General features: G+C 51.2%; 1 protein-coding gene across 16 annotated transcripts in view, besides 1 other annotated feature; it reads right to left on the reverse strand.

The window, feature by feature from the left end:
* Positions 1 to 12,702, reverse strand: part of EBF3 (EBF transcription factor 3) — a 129,042-nt gene that overhangs the window by 89,755 nt on the left and 26,585 nt on the right. The window lies entirely within an intron of this gene.
* Positions 1,930 to 2,461: an enhancer, noted in NCBI's record as "H3K4me1 hESC enhancer chr10:131725181-131725712 (GRCh37/hg19 assembly coordinates)". NCBI's record gives its function as "activates a minimal SCP1, AML or CMV promoter by ChIP-STARR-seq in naive H9 embryonic stem cells {active_cell/tissue: H9 hESC(naive)}" and the evidence as "EXISTENCE:reporter gene assay evidence [ECO:0000049][PMID:30033119]".

Raw genomic sequence — 12,702 nt, forward strand, 5'->3', positions numbered from 1 at the left:
TCACAGCAGCATTACTCACAACTGCTAAAATGTGGAAGCCACCCAAGTATCCATCAATGGGTGAATGGATAAGCAAAATGTGGTGTGTGTGTGCACGCGTGTGTGTGTGTGTGTGTGCGTGTGTACGGTTGGTGCAAAAGTAATTGCAGTTTTTGCCATTGAAAGTAATGGGCCAGGCGCAGTGGCTCACACCTGTAATCCCAGCACTTTGGGAGGCTGAGGCGGGCAGATCACCTGAGAATGATGCACAGAGCCTGGCTGGTGTGAGGGTGGGGGTGCAAGGAGAATGGGGTGGGGGGCTTCAAGGCGTGGCTGGGATTTGGGCAAGTGGAGCTGGCACCACAGACCCTGGGCTGAAACTCTTAGGACAATGTGCGGTACACAGACCACTCAGGAGTTCGAGACCAGGCTGGCCAACATAGTGAGACCCCCGTTTCTACTAAAAATACAAAAAATTAGCAAGGCGTGGTGGTGCATGCCTGTAATCCCAGCTACTGAAGAGGCTGAGGCAGGAGAATCACTTGGACCCGGGAGGCAGAGGTTACAGTGAGCCAAGATCGTACCACTGCACTCCAGCCTGGGTGGCAGAGCAAGACTCCATCTCAAAAAAAAAAAAAAAAGAAAGAAAGAAAGAAAGTAATGGTGTGATGCTTACACAACATTCTGAATGTACTTAATGCACTGAACTATATACTTGAAAATGGTTACAATGATAAATTTTATGTTATATATATTTACCACACTAAGAAAATTGGAAAAAAAAATAAAAACAAAAAACATGTTCCAATCACGCTGAACTGATGTTTCCAGGAGGTAAACATCCAACACAAAGCCCACGCACCACGTAGCTCCTTCCGCTGGTCTAGTGCACGAGAATTCTCAAAAGCCCACCATGAAGAATCCAGGACAGTTAGGAAAGCAGCCTGTGCCTCACTGCCACTGGGGGCCAGTGAAGATCTGTGGAATCCCTAAACTGGAATTTGTGCATTAATAGCCCTGATACCTTTAGAGCATCTTGAACAAGAAACACAAAGTGGGCAAAGTGTCACACTGAAATGCTGAGAGACATCTGAGGACAGGGGGCGTGACTGGCAAAACTGCACTGTTTTTAACTGAGAAGGATTTCAGTTCCTTATGAAGACACCTTCACTGCTTCCCGAGGTGCTGTGTCGCAGCCATTCATTCATTCATTCATTCATTCATAATGAATACCGAGAGCATCTGACGGGTGCCAGTCCCGTGCCAGGCAGGACGAGAATGGCGGAACGCACACCTTGGCGCCAGCCCGCAAGAGCATGGACTCCAGTGGGGAAGGGAGTCCCCCTTCCTGAGACCCTGTGGAGGGACTGTGCAAGGCCTAGAGAGTGATGCACACGGCCTGGCTGGTGTGAAGGTGGGGGTGCAGGGAGAACAGGGGAGGCTTCAAGGTGTGGCTGGGATTTGGACAGGTGGAGCTGGCACCACACACACAGACCCTGGGCTGAAACTCTTAGGACAATCCGCGGTGCATGGACCACTCAGCCCAAAGCAGTGAAACCTCGTGTCACCCCAAAGCTCCACAGGGAAGCATCTCAGGGCTTGGGGGGTGGAGACAGCCTGTGGCCAAGTGGCCAGGGAGGGGGCTGGGCAGACTGGAGCACCCACTGGCACCTTCAAGGGCGGCTGGGACAGGCTTACTCACTACCCAAAAAAGGTGTGGAATAAACAAAAGAAAAACAAACATGGGAGAATGGAAAGAGGGTGCTCCAGGAAACGAGGATGCCCCTCCGCTGGAGGGGGTGTGCCTCACTGGAGGACACACATAGCCAAGGCCCTGCATGTCAGAGTGTGGAACCAGCAGGAGCCACGGCCAGCACTGCCCACCCCACGTGGAGGCTTCAGGTGTGCTCAGCGTTCCCCGAAACGGGGCTCCAGAGCCTGCTCCCGGGGGACAGGCTGCAAGGTGGGCAAGGTGCCGATTCAGGGCTTCTTGGGACTCTGAACAGGTGGGCATCCTCCACCGTGGCCCCAGGAACCGCTGCTCCCTTGGGCAGTGCCATTGGCCACGAGAGGAAGTCAGGCGCATCTTTTTTGGCTTGTTTTGTTTTTAGCAAACCTAAAAGCCTGAAGAGCCACTGCCAGTCCATTCAGTTGCTTATTGCCTGAGAAGCGACACAACCGACCAGGCTCCCGGGCGATGGGGACAAATAAAAATGCCCGTTCCCATTCTGTTCTCAGCTGCACAAACCAGCACATGGCCAGGAGGAACCAGCACCAGCATGACGTGGGCTTGGTCCCCGTGGTGGCCATTCTGGTTTCACATATTTTTAAGTGAAAAGTGGATGCAACATATTTCTAAATTCAATTAAATACATAAAAAGTTAATTTCCCATAAATACCCTCAGAGAGCAACAAGATCTATATACCATCTTCATGCAATTGTAATCAATTCAACCATAATCTCCCCTTACAAAAGGCACAGAAAGCCTTGGGGCCCAGGACACGTGGTTCCATCTACTAAGCCAACACGTGGCCCCACCAGAGAGACTCCAACAGCGCCTGCAGGTGGCTGCTTAGCCTGCAAACACACCCTGGCAACGACGGGGAGCTCACCCCTTCTCGGGCAGCCATGCCTCCTATGCTGACATCTCCCACCCTGAACCCATGCCTCTGGAATGTGAGGATCTTGCATTTCTTCATAGTCGTCTTCTTCCTTTCGGCCCTCCCTCTGCCCTTTGAGTCTACCTGCCCTGAGATGTCCCCTGAGGACAGTTGGGTCCCTTATCCACTGGGTTAGGGCTCCTCCCTGCTCAGTTATTTGAGGAGAGTCTGCTATGTAAGCAGCTCTCCTGGCCATCCCACGTCTGTGCACGATGCTCCCCTCCTCTGCCCTGCTCAGTTAGGACACAGGGATGGGGAGGTGGAGTCTCCACAGGCAAACTCTATTTCCACCCCACCGTCTGCATGTTGTCAAGTGCTCGGTGGAGAGCTTGAGATTCCCAGCCCAGGACTGGTGCTGGCTTCTCCAGGCCCCCACTGTCTGCTACCAGAAATGGGGAGAAGACTGGCAGAAATGAGATCTAACAGGAACCGTTACTATTCCGAGCAATGCCACTTGCCCTGCAAACTCAAGACGTCCAGCCGAGTAAAGAACAGTTCGGTCAGCCTCATGCGAAAACGACTCAGGCAGAAACCTGACAGACGTGTGAACAGACGTGTGAAGCATTGTAAGCTTTAAAAGCACGTTTACGATCATAAAAATAACTGATGCCCATTGTAGAAACTTTTGAAAATACCTAAAAGTATACAAAAAATATAAAAATTAATTATAAACTCGCCAGCCAGAGCTAACCACAATTATTAGTCTGATTATTTCCTCACAATCCCATTTCTGCATATTTAAACAAAACTGGGATCATCCAGTACACACATTTTTATATCATTTTTGCCTAATTTTACGTGGTAAGAACGTTTCCATTGTATGCACTAATCCGCCTTCTCCAGGATTCTAGTACAGGGACCTTCCATAATTTATTTCACAGCTCCCTGTTGTGGGGCAGAAAGCTTCCTAAACTTTATTGTGAAAACACCACAATGCAGTCTTCATTCATAAATTATCTGCATTTCTAGGTGCTTAGGAGATATTCCTAGACAGAGAATGTGGATTCTGTGTGCAAACTAAGGCCCTCACCGTCTGCTACCAGAAACCTCCCACAGGACATTTTGGCAATTGCTTCCTGGGAGGCCCATCTTCGCTTACTCCACTAGGTCAGAGAAGGCCAGGCCATTGCATGTTTTCTGTTCTGAGAGTCAGTTTACGGCTGACCATTGAGATGAGCACTGCAATAATCACTGTCTCCACTGGCAAATCCTGTGATGTGCTATCAGGAGAACGCTGCTGACACGGCCATGCCAGTCTGTTCTGTGAACTTTTCCATATCTTTCATTCATTTGATAATCCATTAGCAGTTAGATTTTGTCACATTTGTGGCAATATTAGTAAAACGGCCAGAGTGGTCTGGAGTGTGGGGAGTCCTTGCAGGTGATCCCCATGAGGTTACAAACAAGGAGACCCTCGGGCTGTGCTCAGACATTTCAGAATGATGGAGTTTCATTCCTTGATAGGACTCGATGTAGCATAAACTCAGCCAGAGTAGAGTGGGAAGTAATCTGGACATATCCGATGCTATGTCAACATTTGTAGGAGGATGGTCTTCTTTATTTTTTATCTTTATTTTTATTTATTTATTTATTTTGAGACAGGGTCTGGCTTTGTCACCCAGGCTGGAGTACAGTGGTGCGATCTCAGTTCACTGCAACCTGCACCTCCCGGGCTCAAGCCATCCTCCAACCTCAGCCTCCCAAGTAGCTGGAACTACAGGCACCTGCCACCCACACCCAGGTAATTTTTGTAATTTTTATAGATACAGGGTTTCACCATGTTGCCCAGGTTGGTTTCAAACTCCTGAGCTCAAGCAATCCGCCCACCTCAGCCTCCCAAAGTGCTAGAATTACAGACGTGAGCCACCATGCCCGGCCAGGAGGATGGCCTTCTTAATAATGCCTTGGAAAGCCTTGTTGACACACTGCTGATAGATATTAAGATGGAAATAGAATTTGGAGCAAGGACATTCAAATCAGTAATGCGTCTGGATGGGCAGACCCTAGACCCAGTCCAAGGAGGCCCCCATGTCAGACGTGGAGCCCCATGCTTTGTCCACGAGAGAGGGCCACAGAGCACCATGGTGCCATCAAGGTGGCATCCTCAAAATGCACACACAAGTGATTGTTCTGCACCCAACTCTGAGAGTTACTAAGTTGCCACAGAAATTAGAGACCACAGAACTATGGTGTGATGTTTGTTTTAGGTGTCAACATGACTAGATTAAGGAATACTTAGAGAACTGGTCAAACATCATTTCTGGGTGTGTCTGTGAGGGTGTTTCCAGAGGAGCTTGGGGTGTGAGTCGGAGCACACTGGGTAGGGAAGGTCCACCCTCAATGTGGGTGGGTGCCATCATTGGTTAGGGGCCCGGAGAGAACAAAAACAGAGGAAAGGTGAGTGTCTCCCTCTGTCTGCCGGAGCTGGGACTCTTCCTCCCCTGTCCCTGGACATCAGAACTTCAGGCTCCAGGCCTTTGCACTCTGGGATTCACACCAGCAGTCCCGTAGGTGCTCAGGCCTTCGCCCTCAGATTGAGGATTACACCATCAACTTCTACAGTTCTGAGGCCTTCAGACTTGGCCTGAGCCGTGATACCAGCATCCCAGGGTCTCCAGCTTGCAGGCAATCTGTCATGGGACTTCTCAGCCTCATAATCCTGTGAGCCAATTCCCTTAACAAATCCCCCTCTCATATATCTATATCTATATCTGTCTATATCTATCTCTATATTAACAAATCCCCCTCTCATATACCTATATCTATACCTGTCTATATCTATCTCTATACTAACAAATCCCCCTCTCATATATCTGTATCTATATCTGTCTATGTCTATCTCTATATTAACAAATCCCCCTCTCATATATCTATATCTGTCTATATCTATCTCTATATTAACAAATCCCCCTCTCATATACCTATATCTATACCTGTCTATATCTATCTCTATATTAACAAATCCCCCTCTCATATATCTATATCTATATCTGTCTATATCTATCTCTATATTAACAAATCCCCCTCTCATATATCTATATCTATACCTGTCTATATCTATCTCTATATTAACAAATCCCCCTCTCATATATCTGTATCTGTCTATATCTATCTCTATATTAACAAATCCCCCTCTCATATACCTATATCTATACCTGTCTATATCTATCTCTATATTAACAAATCCCCCTCTCATATATCTATATCTGTATCTGTCTATATCTATCTCTATATTAACAAATCCCCCTCTCATATACCTATATCTGTCTATATCTATCTCTATATTAACAAATCCCCCTCTCATATATCTATATCTATCTTTATATTAACAAATCCCCCTCTCATATATCTATATCTCTACATTAACAAATCCCCCTCTCATATACCTATATCTGTCTATATCTATCTCTATATTAACAAATCCCCCCATATATCTGTATCTATATCTGTCTATATCTATCTCTATATTAACAAATCCCCCTCTCATATACCTATATCTGTATCTGTCTATATCTATCTCTATATCTCCTATTGGTTCTGTCTTTCTGGAAAACTCTGACTAATACCTATGGGTTTGTGGTTTTTTTGCCCTGGACAGGATAGCACTTAAAGAGAAGCAGAAAAGCAATTGAGAACCCAATGTCTTGGGGATACTTTTTGGTGTAAGTGCATTGTAGACACAGCCCTTTAAGGGGTCTAACATTTTTCTGGGATCCAAGTGCATCTTGGTACCATCCCCTCAAGATCAAGAAGAGAGCCTGAGTGTGGCAACAAGACTCTGCCATGCACGCTGAGGATCCTGATGGCCAAAGTGGACTCCAGAATTACACACAATATGCCCCAGAAGTGATGAATGCACTCAGGTCATCTCTGAGAACTGGGCCCTTAAATGACATATAGCAAGTAGCCCCAACAGTTGACTTCCCTGTCTGGGGCCGCGACTGTGAGCGCCCTGAGGGCAAGGCCATGGTCTGATTCTAACTTGCTCTTGATGTCTGCCCTGATGCCTGACACAGGCCAACAATCAGAAGTATGCTCTGAATTTTATAAAACGAAGTCTTCTCATTCTTTCTCTATTGGTCTTGGTAACAGCACCAATTTGAGCCCACTGGTTATTTCAACTTAAACTGTTGCTATCATGAAGCAATGCCTGCTGACCTCAAGCTCCCTGAGCGACCCTGTGTCCTATTCTTCCCAACCCAGTAGACCAGGCAGGAGGGACCCTACAGGGCCTAGCTGGGTATCTGGAGTGCCCTGGGGTCCTGGTACCCAAATGTCTCCATACACACTCCTGGCCCAAGATGTGCAGATGTTTTCAGAGGTGACCAAGCCTCTGAACCTGGCGGTTCTCTGTGGCCACAGGCTATGTCCAGCCACCCTGGAGAGCTAGGCCAGCCAGAGGAAGAAGAGAGGGCTTGGTCCGCTCTCTCCTTATCTCTCCCAGAGGAGCAGAGGTGAGGGCAATGAAGGACAAAGCGGGCCACTCTGGCAGGCAGTTACACACACGGCCAGGGTAGAAGCACCCCCTCCACACCTGGAAGTCATTTGACTTTCTAAGCAACCTCTTGGGAAGAAGGTATTATTGTTGCTTTCATAACTGTAACGGATAAAATGCTAAGACAGAGGCCTTCGTGGATAACCCACTTCTCACATTGGGGCATTCATTCCTCAAGCTGCCTAGCCTGGGAGGCAATCCCTGGCAGCCAGCCCTCACCCCTGCAACAAGGCGACAAGGGCCACTTGCTTGGCATGTGGCAAAGGGTGCCCCTGTACATGGCAGAGCGGCCGCCGATCTGAGAGTGCCACTCTGTGACCAATGGCTCCCTCTCAGAAAGGTGAAAGGAGTGCTCTCAAAGCTTATATTTATTTGTCACCTTCAAAGTTGATTCCCATTGCCTAAAAGATCAATACATCACCATTTCCAAGGGCAGGACAGACAGTGATCAGGATGGTGAGCAGGGCAGGGGGCACATGGTGTATGTAGCTCCACGTGCCTGTGATGCCATCCCTGGAAAAATACTTCTTGCCACGCAATTTTTTTTCCTGCACATTTTGCATTTCAAACCACAGAAACAAACTAAAATGTGGGAAACCATCACTTGTTCAACACCACGAAGTTACAGAAGGTGCACAACTCGCTGACAGAGCCGGCATGTGACCAGGCAGGAGGCCGAGCTTCGGAACAATTAAAACCAGCCGTCATCCTCAAACAACCCAGCCTTCACCTATAACCAAGGCAAACAAACTTCAACCATTTCTTTTTTTTCCTTTTTTTTTTTTTTTTTTCAATTTCAGAATGCTCAGTGTAGCAGCGGGGCTGGGATGCATTTCACTCTTGACTGGGTACAGTGAGATTGCTAATCAGGATTACTTGATTCAGTCAACACTGATTTCAATAAAAAGACCCAAAAATTATCATAAATATAGAGAAAGTGCGGGCGGCAGTGACAGGTGATTAAAATCTCATTCGCTTGGAATCAGCCTGATTGATGGACGTGGAGGAGGGTCAGTCCTGATTCCGCCACGGTGATCATATCTGCCTCTCTGCAGCCACTTCGGAGCACACACGCACACACGTGCACCCACACACACACATACGGGCACCAAGTAGATCCACAAACAGCAAACCGCAGGGGATGCGGCCTCTCGAAAAACAGGCTTTGAATAATAACTGCTGCGAATTATGCCTGGCAAGGGGTAAGGGGAGCTAATTTGGCACCAGACGAGCTGGGACGCCCCGAGTATGGGGAGGACCAGTGCCGAATAGAAACATTTGTTGAAAACTCAGACTGGCAGTGTGCATTTAGAAAGATTTCAAGGGCTCAAACCAGCCTGCACAGCAGTATAGATGGCATTCGATTAGAGCTAAAGTGATTCCTTGAAACACAAAAGAAGGAAAAAGGATCTTGAAGCCCTCGGAAGCCGCTGAGGCTCAAGTGGTCCCTTGAGCTGGAAGGGAATCCCGCTCCCAGCCCAGCAGCCTCTGCAGGCGGGTGCCCGTGCAAGAGGCACAAGCGTGGCTGAATGTTTCCTAAGGCCCCATACCAACCTTCACTCGATGTCCTCTATTCCTTTCATCAGCCAGACCACAGGGGGGCTCCTCTGTGATCTACAGCAGGGTCAGAGCCCACCCAGAGTGAGTAAGGCCCTGCAGGGCAGGCCAGGCACCCCCAACCTACCTCCTCCCAGTACTGCCCCCAGTGCCAAACACTGGGCCTCAGCCTGGCCACGCTGGGCGCCAGCACCTGCCTCTCCCCTCCTCTCTGCTCAGCCCCACTCTCTCTCAACTCCCCCTCCAGCAGCTTCACGGTCCCAGAGAGAACCATCCGGGACACAGACCAAGGCCCTCTGCTCCTGCGCCCTGTCCAGGCTGGGCTTGCCAGATTTAGCAAATAAAAATACAGGGCACCCAGTTAAATGTGAATTTCGGAGAAGCAATGTCCCTGCTTCTCCAAAATTCACATTTAGCTGAGCATCTTGTATTTTGCCAGGCAAGCTTAACCCTGACTGAACATGGCACCTCAGGGCCTAGTATTAATATCCCCCCTCTCCAGCCTCCTCTTAGTCCTTGATCCATTGCCTGAAGACATGCCCCTCCCTCCACCCTTGAAGACCCCAGAGACCCTCCCCACTTCCAGGCAGCGACATCACGCTCCCCAGACACTCAGAGCAAGGCCCCCCACCCCATCCACATTCACTGTGGGTCCAGCGGGTACTGAGGAGATCCTGGGCTCCATCTTCACTAGCAACTTGGGGTCAGGCGTCATCTGTCCCTTGCACATAGTAGGTGCCCAATAAATACCAGTGGCTCTAACTAAGGCACCTCGCCGCACACAGGGACCTGCAGGTGCTCCTTCCCGGGTGGCTCCCCCAGGTCCCCCTCCTGCTTCCTCATCTCAGGGCCCATGTAAATGAGTCGCTCTGGGTAATTGTTTGACTATTAGCTCATTTGCATACTATTAAGTGGCATGCTTAGCGGTGGGGCTGGGAGTTTCTAAGTTCACTCCCCCTCATTTCCCTCCAATTTCCAGCCCATTCCCTCACAAGCTCCTGCTCCAGTTGGGAAGAGGAGACTGAACAAAGGCCAGCAACTCCATGGGCGCCAAATTAGCTGCCAGGTGACAGGCACGATTTCCACATTTGGATCTGAGCTGCTCCACCCACAGTCAGGCCTGCAGTCACAGACAAAGGTCAGTGCTCAAAGAAGCCCAAATTCATTCTCTGTGCAGAGCTGGGCCCTCGGGAAACTTCTAGAACCTTCTAGAGCCCTCTGGCACACTCTAGAACCCAAAGCATTCTGGGTTGTCAGGATGAGGTCTGGATCAGGAAGATGGTGAGCTCACCTTGAACAAGGGCCTACTGTGTACCTGGTGGTGATCTAACTAGATCAATAACAAGTAATGTTTAAGATAAGTACATCCCAAATATCTCATGGGATGTACTCATCCTAACACATTAGCTGTAGCTGGTGGTCCGGTTCCCTAAGAACCGGACCCTCTAGTGGATCATGATGTGGATGCATTTTCCTGTCTCCACTCCAGCCAAATGTAGCCACATTGTGAGCTGCTTCTCACAGGGGAGATTCTTGAAGGTCCCACTCGCACCTGTCACAGCAGCCACTGTGGCCCATGGCTGTCCCAGCACCCAGAGTGGAGTTGGGAACCAGGCTTGGATCTGCCCAGTGACTGGCGGCCTGGGACCAGGGTGGCCCTGCCTTCCCAGCTCTCCGGTGGGGAAGGTGGGATCCTGTCCTGCCTGGCTCCAGCAGAAGGACCCAGTGCCATCATTCTGACCTTCCTTCTGTGCTGCAAACTCCCACCAACGGGACCTCCTTGAGGACAGAGCAGCTGCCAATTCCTGTGTGACCCCAACCCTAAGAACAAGCCTCCCAACTCAGCGCCAACTGCGGAGCACCAAGCACCCATATGTAAGGCATGGGGTTAGATACATGCACCCCACAAGGCTGGCGGGCAGCAGGCGGTGCCTCCTGATCAGGGCTGCTCATCCAGAGCCCAGAGCCTGGGCGTCCAGGGCACAGACAGCTCTCAGCCACCATTCCTCCTACGTCAGCACTGGGGAGTCCAGAGGCCAACCCCGCAGTCACTGCTGCACAGAAACAAAGACTAAGCCCATCTGGAGCAGAGCTTGGCCCTGCCACACCGGGGCCTCAGGCAAAGCCAAGGGCATAGAATGTGGGCTGGGGACAGGAGAGGCCAAGACACCAAGAGCGGCCACGATCAGCCACAGGCAGGCATGGACAAAGGAATGGCCGGGGAAGGCAGAGCCCAAGCAGCCCTGGAGCACCAGGGCCCCTCCTCCACCATCATCCATCGGGGGGCTTCCTGAAGCTGCCCCCCCCGCCCAACAATGCAGCTGGTGCCCAGGGCTGCGAGTCAACGGCGGCAGGTGCAGATGGTTCTGGGGGACTGTGCAGAGCAGCCACATCAATTACAATTGCTGCAATTATTAAATTATAGAATTATATAGAATTCCATTTATGGAATGATAGAAAACATTGCGACTGACTCTCACACCCACCTGACAGTTATAAAGTCCCCTCCCTTCACCTGCAAGGTCTCAGTCCTCTAAAAGTCAGGCCCAGGGAAGGTGAGGACTGGTTTGAGGTCCCCTGGCTTCTACCAGGTGGAACCAGGACATAACCCCTGCCCAGCCCACCACCCCCTCCTGTCTCTGGCTCAGAGTCATCCTGAGGGGCAGGAAGGCCAGTGCATCTCTCTCTGGGGATGATGCCAAAGGCTGAGAGGACAGAGCACAGGAGACAGGCTGCCCAGGCCCCGGCTTGCTGAGGGATGGGAGAGGCCCACGGGAAGTAGGGCTGGCCTGTCAGGGGACCCTCGGCCTGTGTGAGGACCCAAGGGCTATGCAGGGGACCCTCAGCTGTGTGGGGAACCAGGGGCTGTGGGGGGACCCTCAGCTATGTGGGGAACCAGGGGCTATGGGGGACCCTCGGTCTGTGTGGGGAACCAGGGGTTATGGCAGGGGACCCTCAGCTGTGGGGGGACCAGAGGCTGTGTAGGGGACCTGCAGCCTGTGTGGGGAACTAGGAGCTGTGGGGGGACCCTCAGCTGTGTGGGGACCCAGGGGGCTATGGGGGGACCCTCAGCTGTGTGGGGACCCAGGGGGCTGTGGGGGGACCCTCAGCTGTGTGGGGACCCAGGGGACTGTGGGGGCTCCAAGGCAGGGAAGCACTGCTACAACCAAGTCCCCCACAGGGAACCTCAGACACGAACAAATCAAGGCAGGAGGGCCATGCTTTGGCCAAGAGAGTTCCTAATTCAACAGAAGCTTTTGCCTCCTTGATGACCTGGGCTCCACGGATCGGACGTGTGAGAACAACCCTCAGTCACCCCTCCCGCGACAGTGCATCTCCTACGTGATGCATGCCGAGTGCCAGGCGCCAGCCAGCTTCATTCGGGCCCCAAGGGCTGCAGTGAGGAGGAGCCCAGAGAATCCCCAAAAGCTGGACTGGCTGTCTGAAAGTGGGACAGCAATCGTGCCGGGAACAAGATCCCTGAGTCTACAACTGGGATCAGATGGGTGGGACAACCACAGGCCGTAGGGGGCCGGGTCGACAAGGGAAAGAGCCTGGGGTTCCGGGGCGCACAGAGACCCCTAGTTTGAGCAGAGGGCAGGATGATTTAGACAGCACTGCCCAGCTAAAGGACAGAGGCTCAGGACACCCCAAATCTAGACAAGCCTTCCCTGGGTGACCCTGAGTGGGAATACGATCCTTGAGAACAGAGAGGCCCCAGGGACCTCAGGTGGGAAAGGCTAGTGGTGACAGCAAGAAAAAGGAGCAGGCTTTGTCACATGCTCCTGCCCTCAAGACACACCAGCGCTGCCCCAAGCCCACACAACCTGTGGGGGTCTGCAAGCCCACCTGTCCATCCGCACATTCCCATTCAGGCAGCTACGCCTGATCACAAGGGCTTACGAGCTCAGCCTGCCCACAACTGAGGCCATGGGAAAGAGAACCACTGTCCAGTCCCCGCCCCGTGCCCACGCAGCACCAGAGACACCGCTGGGGACTGCAGGTCACAT

This window comes from Homo sapiens, chromosome 10, assembly GCF_000001405.40.
Source record: "Homo sapiens chromosome 10, GRCh38.p14 Primary Assembly".
Lineage (NCBI taxonomy): Eukaryota > Metazoa > Chordata > Mammalia > Primates > Hominidae > Homo > Homo sapiens.